This window comes from Homo sapiens, chromosome 3 (genome assembly GCF_000001405.40).
Source record: "Homo sapiens chromosome 3, GRCh38.p14 Primary Assembly".
NCBI lineage: Eukaryota > Metazoa > Chordata > Mammalia > Primates > Hominidae > Homo > Homo sapiens.
This window is the reverse complement of record NC_000003.12, coordinates 141747958-141767606: the sequence shown is the minus strand read 5'-3', so window position 1 is coordinate 141767606 and position 19649 is coordinate 141747958. Positions and strand designations below refer to the sequence as shown.

At 41.1% G+C, this 19649-nt stretch overlaps 1 protein-coding gene across 2 annotated transcripts in view, besides 1 other annotated feature; it reads right to left on the bottom strand.

Moving 5' to 3' along the window:
• GRK7 (G protein-coupled receptor kinase 7) overlaps positions 1-17623 on the bottom strand; it is a 69369-nt gene extending 51746 nt beyond the window's left edge. Inside the window, exons 1-2 of one of the 2 annotated variants that reach the window (XM_047447449.1) lie at positions 17267-17623; positions 1869-2178 (exon numbers count right to left, since the gene is read on the bottom strand). The gene's annotated coding sequence lies outside the window, so the exon portion shown is untranslated. Of the gene's footprint in view, positions 1-1868; positions 4200-17266 lie in introns of those variants that run through there. The other variant, NM_139209.3, reaches the window with a different exon arrangement.
• Positions 4780-4954: a silencer, noted in NCBI's record as "fragment chr3:141481495-141481669 (GRCh37/hg19 assembly coordinates)". NCBI's record gives its function as "represses an EF-1alpha promoter that drives an FKBP-Casp9 reporter gene in an ReSE screen in K562 erythroleukemia cells {active_cell/tissue: K562}" and the evidence as "EXISTENCE:reporter gene assay evidence [ECO:0000049][PMID:32094911]".
• Positions 17624-19649: the final 2026 nt, after the last annotated feature.

Sequence of the window (19649 nt, the reverse complement as noted above, 5' to 3'; positions counted from 1 at the left end):
CAACACAGCAAAACCCCGTCTCTACTAAAAATACAAAAAAAATCTGGGCATGGTGGCACATGCCTATAGTCCCAGCTAATCAGGAGGCTGAGGTAGGAGGATTGGTTGAGCTGGGGGCTGGAGGCTGGAGTGAGCTGAGATCACGCTACTGCACTCCAGCCTGGGTGACAGTGCGAAGGAGACCCTGTCTCAAAAAAAAAAAACAAAAAACAAAACACAAAACCAACAGATTTTTAGTTATAAGGCTTGCATGGTATCATAGTATAAAACCAAGCATTCAGTTCAGCTCTGTTCCAATTGATAATGAAACAATCATTGTGTATCTGAAAGAGAAATCTTTTTATCAACAGGAAGCCTGACCTTCCTTACATGTCATACCAAGAATAGATGGTGAAAATTTTTGCTTTTGAGGCTACTTAAGATAGGAGAAGTTGCACATGCTTTCATAGGGGTGAAAGAATCTGTATGCTTGCTTAAAACTCCTCATTTCTATAATAAATTAAGTCCATAAATATTGAATCTTAGGCTATAATCTGGCATAACATAAACATCTTCCTCTCTAAACAAGACTCTAATTGTTTTAATAATGACTGCATTCTCATAACAGAGGATATTCTTCTTAAACAAGGAGTCACAGTAGCTAAGAGAGAAAATGAAGTAATTGGTATATCTGAAGGAAATAGAAAATACTTCCTGATAGAGATTCCATTTGGAAATGAATTATGGCAGATATGCAAATGAACTGTATGTGTTCACACAATAAGATTTTAAAAATCTGCTAAGCAACTCTCTGGAAAGTACGAGATTTTATTAGAAGACATAGATTATTAGAGAAGACCAAACAATACAATGTTAGCAAACAAAAAGCAAAAGAAATTCCACAAAACATAGATTTGATATGTGGCGAATATGTGGGAATTATTTGAAAAAAAGTGTTACGGTTATAATAATGAATGAAACAAGGGCATAAAAGTCAAAGTTATTTTTAGTAGGACATAAAAGACTTTGTATTCTGGAATGAAGAAGTAGTAAGTATTTATTAGAAATTTCGGTGAGTCTGCTTTAAAGACTTTTTTTTTTCACATTTGGTGGCGAATAAAAGTAATCGAGAGTGGAGAGAATAAGGAAGTTATAAGAAAAAACTGGCTAGGTGCGTTGGCTCACGCCTGTAATCCCAACACTTTGGGAGGCCGAGGCGGGTGGATCACGAGGTCAGGAGATCGAGACCATCCTGGCTAACACGGTGAAACCCTATCTCTACTAAAAATACAAAAAACTAGCTGGGCGTGGTGGCGGGTGCCTGTAGTCCCAGCTACTCGGGAGGCTGAGGCAGGAGAATGGCGTGAACCCGTGAGGCAGAGCTTGCTGTGAGCTGAGATCGCGCCACTGCACTCCAGCCTGGACGACAGAGTGAGACTCCATCTCAAAAAAAAAAAGAAAAAATTAAGTTAAGCGTGTAAATGTTAAATGTCCACTGGTGGGGTAGAGGGAGTTATGTTAAAGAATACTTTAAAATATTTAAACACCCCAACTTTTATAAACAATAGTAACATTAGAGTCATTTGCAACTGAGATGAAAGCCTTATTTCCATATACAGTGTGGGCCTGACCCTTGATATACGCTATGGTAAAGAAAATGGAACACCAGATTCAGCTGGTGACACTTAAACACCTCTTACCTGATAGCACATTGCAAGTGAAGACTTTGATGTATAAAAGAGAATTCGTAAGTAGTACTGAGTACTAAGTCATATTAACTAAAATCCACACAAAGCTCTGGCCTATGTTTCATTTGTCTATTCATTCTATGCACTTATCCCACAAATATACAGATTTGCTTTGATTGGGCAGCTCTTTGCTGGTCTCACCTGGACTCACTCTTATGGTTGCATTCAGCTGGGGGATCGGTGGGTGGCTGAGCTCAGCTGGGAGAGCTGGGGTGGTTGAGCCTCTCTGCAGTGTTTCCTCCTGGGCTTCCTCAAAGCATGATGGCCTCAGAGCAGTTTTCCAAAAGGGTGAAGGCAGAAGCTGCAAGATCTCTTCAGTTCCAGGCTCTGGAGCTGATACACCGTTAACTTCTGCCACATTCTACTGGTCACAAGCCTAGCCCAGGTTGATAGGAGTAGCTGTAAAATACTGTGGCCATGTTTTCCAACCCACCACAGATGGTGGTAAGTGCTGTGAAGAAAAATCAAGCAGGGAAGGAGAAGGGAAGTGCTGAGATACACCAGGGAGAAGGCTTCACTTTTAAATAGGGTGGTCAGGCAAGACTGAATTGAGAAAATGATGAGAGTCAAGACCTCCTGAAGGTAAGGGCGTGAGCCATGTGACTGCCTGAGGGTAGAGCACTTCAGGGAGAAGGAACAGCTGGCTCAAATCCTGGTGAGCTTGAGAAACAGCAAGAAAGTCAGTGTGGGTGGCCCAGAGTGAGGGGCCCGCAGCAGGAAATGTCCTCAGAGAGGAAACAGAGCAGACCAGTGAGGCAGTACTGATCACTGCAAGAACTTAGGTTTTCCTTCTGAGTGAGATGGAAAGCCACTGGAAGTTTTCAACAATCAGATGGACATTTTAACAGGATCACAGACAGAAGGGGCAAGGGTTAAAACAGAAAAACCAGTCTGGAGGCTGCTGCAGTAACCCTGGTGAGAAATCAGGGGAGGGGGAAGATAGTTTGCTTATGGATGGATTGTGGGTGTGACAGAAAAGGAGCAAGGGTGATTCCAAGGTTTTGGGCCTGAGTAACTGGAAGGATGAATTTCTGGTAAACAGGGTGGGAAATCCTCTGGAGGAGCAGGGTGTGGGGAAGATCAAGAGCTCAGTCTTGTACCTGTTAAATTTGACCTGCCAGGGAGACAGCCAAACTGAGGTCTTGAGTAGTCTACAAGATCTATGGGTCTGGAACCCACAGGAGAGGGCTGGGCTGGAGATACTCACTGGGAGTCACCCCAGATATAAATGGCCTTTAGAGCCACAGGACTGGGTGTGATCACTCTGGGGTGAGGGCAGAGAAATCTAAGGACTGAGCCCTAGAGTTTGAGGAGGTGAGGGCAGTGGGGTATTAGGAGAGACAGAATGTGGATCCTGGATATCAAGGGAAGAAAGAGTGTCAAGGAGAAAACAGTGATTACTACGGCAAATGCTGCTGAGAGGTCAGTGGGATAAGGACTGAGAATTGGTCAGTGAATTTAACAACTTGGAGGTCACGCAGATGCTTGACAAGAGCAGTTTCTATGAAGTAGTGGGATGAAAACCTTATGAGAGTCAGTTCAACAGAGAATCAATGAATTGGAGGCAGCTAGTGTAAGCTACTCTTGAGGAGTCTTGCTTAAGGGTGTGACCACTGGAGTGAGTGGCAGTCAAGGCAGGGGTGGAGAGCACATCACTGGAAGAGATGAGATCAGGGGATGGAGAGGCCAGGGTATGAGAAGCATCAGCCATGTGGGTATTGAAATCACCAAGAATTATCAAGAGTAGTGATGGAGAGCTGGGAGCTAGCAACTCAGCGAGTGATTTGTGGGGCTGCAAGAAGACACAGTGACTGCTGGAGTCCAGTCACATGAGACTCAAAGCTGGGTGTTTTTAGGGAAGGAAGGAGAGCAGCAATGAAGAGAAATGAAGACGTCTTGCATGTTGCCAGGTCCAGTTGGATGAGGGGAGCAGAAGTGTTGCAGAAGAAACAGTGTCCTTGGGGGAGAACCAGGTTTTAGGGAAAACAAAATGGAGGGAATTTGTAGGGAAGGGAAGAGGACGGAGGAAATTTTGTTGGTGTAAATATTGGAGGGCACAGAGGACAAGTTTCAGAAGTCAGGAAGGGGTGGGAGTTGCAGGAATAAAAGGGAATGTAAAGAACTACTTGGAATTAGAGTTAGGAGAATGTGAGTTGAGCTGGAAAACTGGGTTTCTTGTGTTGAGGTATCTAACTAGGATAAAGGGCAGGATGAGATTGCTGGACTCAAAGCAGATGGTGGTGGACAGTGTTGGGGGCAGGGAGGGGTGCTGGCCTTGCCACGCACACTGGATCTGGATCCGGGATCCTGCAGCTTCCACTGGGCTACTGCTAAGTTGAAGGAGGTCTTAGGCACAGCACTGGGGCCCTGGTTCCTCGTCTGTGAAGGTGGAGCTGGCAGAGGGTTGGGCTGATCTGAGGCCCCCCAGACTTTGCTGGGTTAGTTAGTGGGTTTGAGAGCTAAGGGTGGAAGCTACAGCAAGAACTTTGAAAGTTGCTCCTTTCACTTTGCATTCACCTTAAGGACCTAACAGCAAGGAATGGTGAAGTTGGGAGGACTCCAGAGCTCCTATGCTTTATTAGGTGCCTTATGCCCTCACAAAACTTCAGTTCTGGGCTGTTGTTTGACCGAAACACAGCACTATGGCTTCAGGGTCATCAACGGCTATTTGAAGCATGAGGTATGGGAAGAATCCAAGCCCATATTTTTCATCCTTAAGAAGATCTGGAGGAGGAGCCAAGATGGCCGAATAGGAACAGCTCCGGTCTACAGCTCCCAGCGTGAGCGACACAGAAGACGGGTGATTTCTGCATTTCCATCTGAGGTACTGGGTTCATCTCACTAGGGAGTGCCAGACAGTGGGCGCAGGCCAGTGGGTGCGCGCACCGGGCGCGAGCCGAAGCAGGGCGAGGCATTGCCTCACCTGGGAAGCGCAAGGGGTCAGGGAGTTCCCTTTCCAAGTCAAAGAAAGGAGTGACGGACGCACCTGGAAAATCGGGTCACTCCCACCCGAATATTGCGCTTTTCAGACCGGCTTAAAGAACGGCACACCACGAGATTATATCCCTCACCTGGCTCGGAGGGTCCTACCCCACGGAATCTCCCCACGGAATCTCGCTGATTGCTAGCACAGCAGTCTGAGATCAAACTGCAAGGCGGCAGCGAGGCTGGGGGAGGGGCGCCCGCCATTGCCCAGGCTTGCTTAGGTAAACAAAGCAGCCGGGAAGCTCCAACTGGGTGGAGCCCACCACAGCTCAAGGAGGCCTGCCTGCCTCCGTAGGCTCCAGCTCTGGGGGCAGGGCACAGACAAACAAAAAGACAGCAGTAACCTCTGCAGACTTAAATGTCCCTGTCTGACAGCTTTGAAGAGAGCAGTGGTTCTCCCAGCAGGCAGCTGGAGATCTGAGAACGGGCAGACTGCCTCCTCAAGTGGGTCCCTGACCCCTGACCCCCGAGCAGCCTAACTGGGAGGCACCCCCCAGCAGGGGCACACTGACACCTCACACGGCAGGGTATTCCAACAGACCTGCAGCTGAGGGTCCTGTCTGTTAGAAGGAAAACTAACAAACAGAAAGGACATCCACACCGAAAACCCATCTGTACATCACCATCATCAAGACCAAAAGTAGATAAAACCACAAAGATGGGGATAAAACAGAACAGAAAAACTGGAAACTCTAAAACGCAGAGCGCCTCTCCTCCTCCAAAGGAACGCAGTTCCTCACCAGCAATGGAACAAAGCTGGATGGAGAATGACTTTGACGAGTTGAGAGAAGAAGGCTTCAGACAATCAAATTACTCTGAGCTACGGGAGGACATTCAAACCAAAGGCAAAGAAGTTGAAAACTTTGAAAAAAATTTAGAAGAATGTATAACTAGAATAACCAATACAGAGAAGTGCTTAAAGGAGCTGATGGAGCTGAAAACCAAGGCTCGAGAACTACGTGAAGAATGCAGAAGCCTCAGGAGCCAATGCGATCAACTGGAAGAAAGGGTATCAGCAATGGAAGATGAAATGAATGAAATGAAGCGAGAAGGGAAGGTTAGAGAAAAAAGAATAAAAAGAAATGAGCAAAGCCTCCAAGAAATATGGGACTATGTGAAAAGACCAAATCTACGTCTGATTGGTGTACCTGAAAGTGATGCGGAGAATGGAACCAAGTTGGAAAACACTCTACAGGATATTATCCAGGAGAACTTCCCCAGTCTAGCAAGGCAGGCCAACGTTCAGATTCAGGAAATACAGAGAACACCACAAAGATACTCCTCGAGAAGAGCAACTCCAAGACACATAATTGTCAGATTCACCAAAGTTGAAATGAAGGAAAAAATGTTAAGGGCAGCCAGAGAGAAAGGTCGGGTTACCCTCAAAGGGAAGCCCATCAGACTAACAGTGGATCTCTCGGCAGAAACCCTACAAGCCAGAAGAGAGTGGGGGCCAATATTCAACATTCTTAAAGAAAAGAATTTTCAACCCAGAATTTCATATCCAGCCAAACTAAGCTTCATAAGTGAAGGAGAAATAAAATACTTTACAGACAAGCAAATGCTGAGAGATTTTGTCACCACCAGGCCTGCCCTAAAAGAGCTCCTGAAGGAAGCGCTAAACATGGAAAGGAACAACCGGTACCAGCCGCTGCAAAATCATGCCAAAATGTAAAGACCATCGAGACTAGGAAGAAACTGCATCAACTAACGAGCAAAATCACCAGCTAACATCATAATGACAGGATCAAATTCACACATAACAATATTAACTTTAAATGTAAATGGACTAAATGCTCCAATTAAAAGACACAGACTGGCAAGTTGGATAAAGAGTCAAGACCCATCAGTGTGCTGTATTCAGGAAACCCATCTCACATGCAGAGACACACATAGGCTCAAAATAAAAGGATGGAGGAAGATCTACCAAGCAAATGGAAAACAAAAAAAGGCAGGGGTTGCAATCCTAGTCTCTGATAAAACAGACTTTAAACCAACAAAGATCAAAAGAGACAAAGAAGGCCATTACATAATGGTAAAGGGATCAATTCAACAAGAGGAGCTAACTATCCTAAATATATATGCACCCAATACAGGAGCACCCAGATTCATAAAGCAAGTCCTGAGTGACCTACAAAGAGACTTAGACTGCCACACATTAATAATGGGAGACTTTAACACCCCACTGTCAACATTAGACAGATCAACGAGACAGAAAGTCAACAAGGATACCCAGGAATTGAACTCAGCTCTGTACCAAGCAGACCTGATAGACATCTACAGAACTCTCCACCCCAAATCAACAGAATATACATTTTTTTCAGCACCACACCACACCTATTCCAAAATTGACCACATAGTTGGAAGTAAAGCTCTCCTCAGCAAATGTAAAAGAACAGAAATTATAACAAACTATCTCTCAGACCACAGTGCAATCAAACTAGAACTCAGGATTAAGAATCTCACTCAAAGCCGCTCAACTACATGGAAACTGAACAACCGGCTCCTGAATGACTACTGGGTACATAACGAAATGAAGGCAGAAATAAAGATGTTCTTTGAAACCAACGAGAACAAAGACACAACATACCAGAATCTCTGGGACGCATTCAAAGCAGTGTGTAGAGGGAAATTTATAGCACTAAATGCCCACAAGAGAAAGCAGGAAAGATCCAAAATTGACACCCTAACATCACAATTAAAAGAACTAGAAAAGCAAGAGCAAACACATTCAAAAGCTAGCAGAAGGCAAGAAATAACCCTTCAAAAAATCAATGAATCCAGGAGCTGGTTTTTTGAAAGGATCAACAAAATTGATAGACCGCTAGCAAGACTAATAAAGAAAAAAAGAGAGAAGAATCAAATAGACACAATAAAAAATGATAAAGGGGATATCACCACTGATCCCACAGAAATACAAACTACCATCAGAGAATACTACAAACACCTCTACGCAAATAAACTAGAAAATCTAGAAGAAATGGATACATTCCTCGACACATACACTCTCCCAAGACTAAACCAGGAAGAAGTTGAATCTCTGAATAGACCAATAACAGGAGCTGAAATTGGGGCAATAATCAATAGTTTACCAACCAAAAAGAGTCCAGGACCAGATGGATTCACAGCCGAATTCTACCAGAGGTACAAGGAGGAACTGGTACCATTCCTTCTGAAACTATTCCAATCAATAGAAAAAGAGGGAACCCTCCCTAACTCATTTTATGAGGCCAGCATCATTCTGATACCAAAGCCGGGCAGAGACACAACCAAAAAAGAGAATTTTAGACCAATATCCTTGATGAACATTGATGCAAAAATCCTCAATAAAATACTGGCAAACCAAATCCAGCAGCACATCAAAAAGCTTATCCACCATGATCAAGTGGGCTTCATCCCTGGGATGCAAGGATGGTTCAATATACGCAAATCAATAAATGTAATCCAGCATATAAACAGAGCCAAAGACAAAAACCACATGATTATCTCAATAGATGCAGAAAAAGCCTTTGACAAAATTCAACAACCCTTCATGCTAAAAACTCTCAATAAATTAGGTATTGATGGGACGTATTTCAAAATAATAAGAGCTGTCTATGACAGACCCACAGCCAATATCATACTGAATGGGCAAAAACTGGAAGCATTCCCTTTGAAAACTGGCACAAGACAGGGATGCCCTCTCTCACCGCTCCTATTCAACATAGTGTTGGAAGTTCTGGCCAGGGCAATCAGGCAGGAGAAGGAAATAAAGGGTATTCAGTTAGGAAAAGAGGAAGTCAAATTGTCCCTGTTTGCAGACGACATGATTGTTTATCTAGAAAACCCCATTGTCTCAGCCCAAAATCTCCTTAAGCTGATAAGCAACTTCAGCAAAGTCTCAGGATACAAAATCAATGTACAAAAATCACAAGCATTCTTATACACCAACAACAGACAAACAGAGAGCCAAATCATGAGTGAACTCCCATTCACAATTGCTTCAAAGAGAATAAAATACTTAGGAATCCAACTTACAAGGGATGTGAAGGACCTCTTCAAGGAGAATTACAAACCACTGCTCAAGGAAATAAAAGAGGATACAAACAAATGGAAGAACATTCCATGCTCATGGGTTGGAAGAATCAATATCGTGAAAATGGCCATACTGCCCAAGGTAATTTACAGATTCAATGCCATCCCCATCAAGCTACCAATGACTTTCTTCACAGAATTGGAAAAAACTACTTTAAAGTTCATATGGAACCAAAAAAGAGCCCGCATCGCCAAGTCAATCCTAAGCCAAAAGAACAAAGCTGGAGGCATCACACTACCTGACTTCAAACTATACTACAAGGCTACAGTAACCAAAACAGCATGGTACTGGTACCAAAACAGAGATATAGATCAATGGAACAGAACAGAGCCCTCAGAAATAACGCCGCATACCTACAACTATCTGAACTTTGACAAACCTGAGAAAAACAAGCAATGGGGAAAGGATTCCCTATTTAATAAATGGTGCTGGGAAAACTGGCTAGCCATATGTAGAAAGCTGAAACTGGATCCCTTCCTTACACCTTATACAAAAATCAATTCAAGATGGATTAAAGATTTAAACGTTAGACCTAAAACCATAAAAACCCTAGAAGAAAACCTAGGCATTACCATTCAGGACATAGGCATGGGCAAGGACTTCATGTCCAAAACACCAAAAGCAATGGCAACAAAAGCCAAAATTGACAAATGGGATCTAATTAAACTAAAGAGCTTCTGCACAGCAAAAGAAACTACTATCAGAGTGAACAGGCAACCTACAACATGGGAGAAAATTTTCGCAACCTACTCATCTGACAAAGGGCTAATATCCAGAATCTACAATGAACTCAAACAAATTTACAAGAAAAAAACAAACAACCCCATCAAAAAGTGGGCGAAGGATATGAACAGACACTTCTCAAAAGAAGACATTTATGCAGCCAAAAAACACATGAAAAAATGCTCATCATCACTGGCCATCAGAGAAATGCAAATCAAAACCACTATGAGATATCATCTCACACCAGTTAGAATGGCAATCATTAAAAAGTCAGGAAACAACAGGTGCTGGAGAGGATGTGGAGAAATAGGAACACTTTTACACTGTTGGTGGGACTGTAAACTAGTTCAACCATTGTGGAAGTCAGTGTGGCGATTCCTCAGGGATCTAGAACTAGAAATACCATTTGACCCAGCCATCCCATTACTGGGTATACACCCAAATGACTATAAATCATGCTGCTATAAAGACACATGCACACGTATGTTTATTGCGGCATTATTCACAATAGCAAAGACTTGGAACCAACCCAAATGTCCAACAATGATAGACTGGATTAAGAAAATGTGGCACATATACACCATGGAATACTATGCAGCCATAAAAAATGATGAGTTCATGTCCTTTGTAGGGACATGGATGAAATTGGAAATCATCATTCTCAGTAAACTATCGCAAGAACAAAAAACCAAACACCGCATATTCTCACTCATAGGTGGGAATTGAACAATGAGATCACATGGACACATGAAGGGGAATATCACACTCTGGGGACTGTGGTGGGGTGGGGGGAGCGGGGAGGGATAGCATTGGGAGATAGATATACCTAAGGCTACATGACGAGTTAGTGGGTGCAGCGCACCAGCATGGCACATGTATACATATGTAACTAACCTGCGCAATGTGCACATGTACCCTAAAACTTAAAGTATAATAAAAAAAAAAAAAAGAAAAAAAAAAAAAAAAAGAAGAAGATCTAAGCGTATTGTCAGAAAAGTGGGAGTTCAGAGTTCAGTGAGGAATTTCAGGCTACACTAAAATTTTCGTCTTATAATTGGGGGTAGCTCCAAGATTTTGCACATTTAAAACCCTGAAAAATATTCTAGAAGAGAGATGGAATTAATAAAACATTTTCCCTTAAAAAAATCACTTCTTCCATTACTTTTTTCTTCTGAGTTTTGAGAAACTTCTTGAAAGTGTGGCCCTTCTAATGAACTCCAAGGAGCTTTCTCAGGTTACCTCCACAGGGGACCAGAACAAGATGAGAAAAACAATTATTTTGATTTGAATGATTTCTTGAAGAGTTGAACAATAAGACAAATGGAACACCATTAATGCATTTTCTTTTATTTTCCATTTAGTAGCAAATGTAAAAGGGTGTTGGTTATGGTCTTCAATAATAATAGCCATCTCTTTCTTTTTTAAAAAAAATTCAGGTTTTACATAGAGTAAAATGTATACATCCTACATGTGCAGTTAATGAGTTTTATAAAATGTATACTTTCAGGTAATCATCACTCAGATCAAGAGAGGGAACATTTCCCTCACTGCTGAAAGTTTCCCATGCCCTTTTCCAGTCAATACCCCTCGCTGAGAGACAATCATTCTGATTTTGATCCCTATAGATTTTACCTGTTCTCAAACTTCATGACAGCAGAATCATACAGTTAAGTAGTCTTTTGTGCCTGAATTCTTTTGCTCAACATAATCTAAAGATTATAAAGATTCAGCCAGGCTGTCGCCTGCATCAGTTGTTTTCACCCCCCCACCTTTTTTTTTCTTTTTGAGATGGAGTCTTACTCTGTCGCCCAGGCTGGAGTGCAGTAGCACGATCTCAGCTCACTGCAACCTCCACCTCCTGGGTTCAAGCGATTCTCTTGCCTTAGCCTCCTGAGTAGCTAGGATCACAGGCATGCACCACCACACCTGGCTAATTTTTGTATTTTTAGTACAGACGAGGTTTTACCACGTTAGCTGGGCTGGTCTTGAACCCCTGACCTCAAGTGATCTGCTCACCTCGGCCTCGCAAAGTGCTTGGGATTACAGGTGTGAGCCACTGTGCTTGCCATCTTTTTTTTTTTTTTTTTTAAACTGCTGAGTAGTGTTCCATTCTATGAATATATCATTATTCTGTTGATGAACATTTGGGTTGTTTCCAGGTTGGGGATATTATTATAAATATGAACATTTTAAAAAGCAGCTTTGAATATTGTTTTGTAAGTCTTTGTGTGGATGCATATTTTCATTTTTCTTGAGCAAATACCTTAGATGATAGGGTAGAAGAGATCATAGGGTAAGTATATATTTAACTTTTAAAAATAACTGCCTGTTTTCCAAAGTGGTTATTCCATATTTCATTCCTGCTAGCAATGAATGAAAGAGTTCCAATTCCTCTACATGTTCATCAAGACTTAGTGTTATCAGTCTATTTAATTTGAGCTATTCTAGGGTGGTATATAGTGGTGTTTCATTGTGATTTTAATTTGATTTTCTGATGAGGCATAATGGGCACATTTTCAGGTGCCAACTGACTATTTAGACTTCTTCTTTTGTGAAACATCTTTTCAATTCTTTTGCCCAATATCCACCTCTTTAATAAATCTTGTTGAGGATATGGCCCTCTCAGGCAGTATTCTGTTGACCGACCACATTCTTAAGAGAAGCTAAATGTTGTAGAGACATTGAGGCAGCAGTCATAGAAATAAAATTGCTGGGTAAGAGCATTAGATTCATTCATTCATTCATTCATTTTTAGAGGTGGGGACAGGGTCTCCCTATGTTGCCCAGGCTTGTCTCAAACTCCTGGCCTCAAGTGATCCTTCCACCAGAGCCTCCTGAGTAGCTAGGATTATAGGTGTAAGCCACCACACCTGGCTAAGAACATTGGATTTAGAGCTTTCCAAACAGTTTAAATTTGTCAGGACAAGTATAGAAGCAACCATTTTATTTGTAAAAGCCACCACATGCTATTTCTATTCAGAGTTTCAAAATACAGAGAACAGGTACTCTCTAGAACCTTGGCATAAAATTCGAGTTTAGAAAATACCTGAAAGTGGTGTTACAGCTTATGTAACATCATATTTTTTCCATACGTAGTTATATTTTGAGATGTATACTTTTATTTAAGGACTATCCAAATTTGTGTCATAAAGGATATGTCCATTTAAAAGCCTATTTAAAAAAACTTTGCTTTATAAGTTGGCATATTAAAAAATATAAACATGAAGATGTCATATCAGAGATAAAATAATCTCTAAGATTCCAATTCTAAGAGGCTCTGAAAAGAAAGTATATGTAGCAGCAACTACCCAAGTATCAGCAATTGTTAATTGTTAATATCAATTGTGGCTGATAATCTATGTTGAGTCATTCAACATCCATTCCCAATTGTTCTTTTCCTTTTCTTCCTTTACTGTGAAAGCTGGAAAACCAAAAGCTTCATCTCTGATTTTTCCCAGGTGACATAATTCTGGCCAGTGAACTACAGACTAAAGACACCGGGGAGGCATGCACCTGTAATCCCAGTTATTCAGGAGGCTGAGGCACAAGAATCGCTCGAACCCAGGAGGTAGAGGTGGAGGTTGCAGTGAGCAGAGATTGCACCACTGCACTCCTGCCTGGGTGACAGAGTGAGACCCTGTCTCAAAAAAAAAAAAAAAAAAAAGACAGTGGTGAGGGGAGCCCTTCACCGAGTACAAGTCAATGTCTTGCTAAAGAAAAAAAAAATCCTTTTTCCCAAGAACATAAATATGAGGCCTGTCTGAAAATACAGCATTCATCTTGGGAACATGAGAGAGAGGGCAGGAGAATGAGCCATCACTCTGACATGGTCAAGAGCAGACAGCAGAAAGCCTAGTTTCTGATGGCACCACTGACCTGCTGTACCAGCCCTGGACTTCCTACCCCTGGACTTCTTATTGTGCAGGACAGTGACACCCTTATCTGTTTAAGCAGCAGCAGTTTTCTGATATTTGTTGCCAAGTGTATTGCCAGCTGATTCACTAGTGTTTGAAAGAAGATACCATACTAAACACAAAATTAACTGCTTATATTATGCACCATTATCTCTTTATTAAACCTGGCTTTATCAAAGACATAATTGATTTTTCAAGGAACCCCAGTATTGAGACATCATTATACTTCTGCATGAGCAGAAGGGCTTAACACTTTCACCACATTATCTGTTCTTGGAACCAAATTTGAAACTATTGATAAATGTTAGTAATAATCTGCTCCAATATTGTTTTAGCATTTATGAAAACTGTACCAATTATGTTAATATAGTATTTTTTACCAATGATATCTTCATATGCTCTTAGTGTTTTAAAACAAACATAAATTCCCTTTTTAGCATATGAACATTTGCATTTAGATCAGATATGACAGCAGTATAATAAAACAGGGGTCCCCAGTGCCTGGGCCATGGACTAGTACCAGTCCCTGGCCTGTTAGGAACTGGGCTGCACAGCAGGAGGGGAGCAGCGAGCAAGCAGTACTGCCTGAGCTCTGCCTCCTGTCAGGTCAGCAGCAGCATGAGATTCTCATGGGAGCGCCAACCCTATTGTGAACTGTGCATGTGAGGGATCTAGGTTGGGCGCTCCTTATGAGAATCTAACTAATGCCTGAGGATCTGAGGTGGAACAGTTTCATCCCAAAACCATCTTCCACCCCACTGTGGAAAAATTGTCTTCCATGAAATCTGTCCCTGGTGCCAAAAAAATTGGGGAACCACTGTACTAAAACACCATAAAATTGTATAGAACACCACGAAATGGTTTGGCCAAGAGTTGAAAACAGAATATACAGCTCTAAAATATCTCTATAAATGAAGTTTGTTTGTAGCTTTACAGAACTAAAAACCAAAATATGTGAACAAACTTTAAAAAAGCAATTTTGGAGGAAAATAGGTTCAGAGAAGGTATTTTACTGAGACAGTGTTAAGCAAGTAGTGAAGAATGTGGATTCCAGAGCCAGACTGCCTGCATTCGGACCATTTTCCTTCCACCAGTGTCATCTTAGGCAGGTATTAGTCAGCTTGGGCTGCCAAACAAAATGCCATAGACTGGGTTTTGTGGCTGAAACAACAGAAATGTATTTTCTCACAATTTGGGAGGCTGGCAAGTCTAACATCAAGGTGCCAGCAGGGTTGATGGCTGGGGAGTGCTCTCTCCTGGGATGGCAGATAGCTGCCTTCTCACTGTGTCCCTACATAGTTTTCTTGGGTACATTCATGAAAAGAGAGATATCCCTCTCATCCTCTTCCTATAAAGCCACCAACTGCCTCAAAATATAATCACATTGGGGGTTAGGACTTTGACATCTGAGTTTTGGGAAGACACAATTTGGTCCATGGCAGCAGGTTATGTAACCTCTTGGTGCCTACATTGCTTTACCTGTAGAAAGAGTTGATAATAATAGGAAGGGTTTTTGCAAAGATTAAGTGAGTTAATATACATAAAGCTCTTAGAAAAGAGTTTGATGCATAATAAGGGCTATACAAGTTTGATTATTATCAATGGCCATATTTTAGCAAATTTCTAGTAGGGAATTCTAACTTCCCCAAAATATTATCAAAATGTATATAAGTTATTATTAATCAGGACTTCTCAACCTCACTGCTGATGACATTTTGGGGCCTGACAGTTCTTTGTTGTGGGGCTGTCCTATGCCTTGTGGACGTTTAGCAGCATCCCTGGCCTCTACCCACTAGATCCTGGTAGCACCTCCACTACGTTGTGGACATCCACAAATGTCTCCAGACATCGCCAAATGTCCTCTGTGAGGTAAAATCACCCCTGGTTGAGAACCAATGCTATACATCTATTAAAGACACAAAAGCAGCTACATGAATTTATAGCTTAAAATATTGTCATTTTGCAAACTTAAGAAATTCTTACAAAACCTAAAGAATGGGAAACTATGTCAACAATCCCTTTTTATAGTAAACACTGAGGTTTTTCATATAATTTGGAATCTTTGTATTTTTTTTCTCCAGGTCCAGTGAATTTGGCAGCTAAAGATTTAAAAACATATACTACTTTCCTTTTTGTTAAGGATAAGATGTAGTTAGTAAAGTAAGGCACATGTTCAACATCCTAGTTTTAAGATAATCTTTTGAAGGTATGCAGAAGGTCACTTAAAACAGATTTTGATATATCACTGAGGTGTCCATGATTCTGAAATTCTGAGAAAATAGAATGGATCATCGACATTGTGCTGTCCAATAGAATTTTCTTCACTGAAGGGAATATTCTGTTCTGTAATATCCAATATGGAAGCCACTATCCATATGTGACTACTGAGCCTTTGAAATGTGGCTAGTATAACCATGGGACTGAATTTTAAATTTCATTGTAATTAATTAAATTTTACATAGCTACATGTGGCTAGTAGCTATACTATTAGACAACACAGATCTATACACATAAATAAATGATTATGTTATTTTCTTCCTTAATAGGGTCTTTTTGTCAGTGGGCAGACCCCCCATACCCCACACATACCACTTACCACATGTTGTTACATACAATAGAAACAGATTTTTATAATCCACATGAGAAATGGTTCTTGTAGTCACATATGGTGTAATGCTGTAGTAGAATATGGTTTCTCTCTTCTACTTCTCTTAGAAGGTTCAACACTTTAAACTTTACAATTCTGTTGTAAAGCTAATATTCCCTAACAGACCCTGTAGTCTCTGAAGAGAGAAGACTTTTTATTAAAATTCTTTGTCATAATGGTGAAGCCCCATATATAGCAGGCATGCAATAAACTTTTATTATAAATATATAATATTAAAAATGTATAGTTTCTGTAAAAGTAGAAAAAGCAGAGCTAGAGTTAGTATGGCAGAGGTTAATTTACAATGAAGGTATAAGAATGACTACTATAGAGTTTAAGTCCCAATAAATTTACATAGTTGGTAGGCATCTCCTTAGAGGCTCAGATAAAATGCAAATGGCATAGAACATTTCACCTGTGCTGAAATAGTTTAAAGAGTTTTTGAGCAAGATTTTCATCTGGGCAGTTTTTTCTTTTTGTTTTGTTTTGAGATGGAGTCTCGCTGTGTTGCCCAGCCTGGAGTGCAGTAGCTATTCACAGGCATGGCCATCACACACTACAGCCTTAAACTCCTGGCCTCAAGCAATCCTCCTGCCTCAGCCTCCCAAATAGCTGAGACTGCAGGTGTGTGCCACTGCACTCCCTTGAGCAGTTTTCTCTAACTCTATTCCCTGCCCTGCTTGGTACACACACACTTCTTTGGGAACCACTGTGGGAGAACCTATTGTTGCTGATGGGAATGTGTTAGGGTAGTTAAAAAAAAAAAAAAAAGGTTATAAACCACTCTCCTGAAGACTCATGCTGGCAATTTTTTTACAGGTTGTAGCTGCACACACACATCATAAGTCTTACAAGAAGTATCTCTGCAAACAATATTCCTTTCTTAAAAGCAATTCTATAATTAAGGCAAAGAGATTACCAGCATCAGTAGTGATCAATAATAATGGCTGACATTTGTTGAGTGCTTACTGTGTCAAGCACTGTTCTTGCAGTTAAAATGCATTTATTTAATCTTCATAACAACTCCATGAGGTAGATAACAATGTTATACCATTTTAGTTGAGGAAACAGGCACAGAGAAGTTAAGGATTTTGTGCAAGATCACACAGCTAGTAAATGATAGAGCCAACATTTCAAGCTGCGCTGACTATGAAACTGTAGTCTTAATTCTATGCTATACTGCAGCTACACTCACCCAGGCAAAGTGCTTGCTTGTAACCAATACAGGAAAAGCAGATTCCGTTCCAACCACTGAATCAGATTTATCAAGTGTACAGATAAGATGAAGGAGCAGGTTGATTGCAAAGCTTACTCCCATTCTGAAAGGCTATGAAAATGAAAATTGAGGGTTTTATTAATAGAAGTAATGGTTTATGCCATTACTTTTAATGGCAAAAAAACCGCAATTACTTTTGCACCAGCCTAATAGAAAAAGGTTAATTTTCTAAGCATATGAAGATTCCCAAAATCAACTAGGCAAAAAATTTATTTTTATATTCATATTTCTTTTTTTTTTTTTGAGACGGAGTCTCGCTCTGTCGCCCAGGCTGGAGTGCAGTGGCGCGATCTCGGCTCACTGCAAGATATTTCTACCAAGATGGAAAACCTAAAATTAAAATGAGACCTCACCAAAACCTTTTCTTAATATAAAATCTTGGCTGGGTATGGTGGCTCATGCCTGTAATCCCAGCACTTCAGGAGGCCGAGGCGGGAAAATCGCTTGAGGACTCAGGAGTTCAACTCCAGCCTGGGCAACACAGGGAAACCCCATCTCTACAAAAAAAATAAAAAATTAGCTGGGTGTAGTAGTGTGCAACTGTGGTCCCAGCTACTCGGGAGGCTGAGGTGGGAGGATTGCTTGAGCCTGGGAAGTTGAGGCTGCAGTGAGCTGTGATCATGCCATTGCACCCCAACTTTGGAGACAGAGAGAGACCCTGTCATAAAAAATATAAAATAAAAATTTAAAAATAAAATCTGAAAATAATGTTGAGTGATTAGAAAAACATAACAGGCAAGTTATTGAGGCCTTACTACCATTATTCACAAAAACTCACAGTGCTACAAGTAATCTAATCACGTTCACAATTAACTTTTTCTTGTACAATTTTTATTGAGAATAGGAGTGTTTTATTTCATAACTGAAAACATTATTTTTAAAGTAACACTTCTATTAAAAATGCTTCTAAAAATGACTACAATGAAACAATAACAGTTGCACTTAACCATGTGCTAGATACTGTTCTAAATTTATATAGTTAGTCCTCAATCCCCCCAAAAAACTAAAGAAGTAAGTATTATTATTTGAGACAGGGTCTTGCTCTGTCACCCAGGATGGAGTACAGTGGTGTGATCACGGCTCACTGCAGCCTTGACCTCCTGGGCTTAAGCGATCCTCCCACCTCAGCCTTCTGAGTAGCTAGAATTACAGGTGCACACCACCATTCCACTAATTTTGTTTTTATTTTCTGTAGAGACGAGGTCTCACTATGTTGCCCAGGCTGGTCTCAAACTCCTGGGCTCAAGCAATCCTCCTGCCTTGGCCTCCCAAAGTGCTGGGATTACAGGCATGAGCCACCACGCCTGGCCAAGAATTATTATATTGTTATTATTATCTACCTTGCACATGAAGAAATTGAGGTATGGAGAGGTGAAGTAACTTGCCTAAAATCACACAAATAAATGGTGGAGCTAGGATTCAAATCCAGGTATCCTGGCTGTACTGCCACTAAGTGAGAGTATTAAAATGCAAAGAAAATACTTTCCCTGTAAGATATATTTTGCTGAACAAAACCTAATGATGGCAGAAATGGAATGACTTAAAGATGGAAAACAGGAACTTCCATGCAAACATTTTTCAGTATTTTGTTGTACTATTCAAATGTTCAATACAAAATAGATTAAAATTTAAAATATATTTGTACTTTAATTCTAATTTTCCTTATAGCCAAATCAGTAATATTTTATTCTTTAAATGCTTTTTTAAAAAACAAGGGCTGGCCCAGTGTGATGGCTCACGCCTGTAATTCTAGCACTTTGGGAGGCTGAGGCAGGTGGATTACCTGAGGTCAGGAGTTCAAAACCAGCCTAACCAATAGGGTGAAACCCTGTCTCTACTAAATACAAAAAATTAGCTGGGCATGGTGGTGCATGCCTGTAATCCCAGCTACTCAGGAGGCTGAGGCAGGAGAATCTCTTGAACCCGGGAGGTGGAGGTTGCAGTGAGCCAAGATTGCGCCACTGCATTCCAGCCTGGGCAACAAGAGTGAAACTCTGTCTCGAAAAAACAATAAATACAAACAAGGGCTTACTAAACACTGAAATTTTCTCCTTTTCATTGCAGAGCATAAAACGTTCATTACTCCAAACTACCCGTGGCAATAACTTTTACTTATTTATTTATTTTGGAGACAGGGTCTTGCCATGTTGCCCAGGTTGAAGTGTGGTGGCTATTTACAGGCATGATCTGTATACTGCAGCCTCAAACTTCTAGGCTCAAGCAATCCTCCCGCCTCAGCCTTCAGAGTAGCTGAGACTAGTGTGTGCACCACCATGCCTGGCTCCATGGCAATAACTTAAAA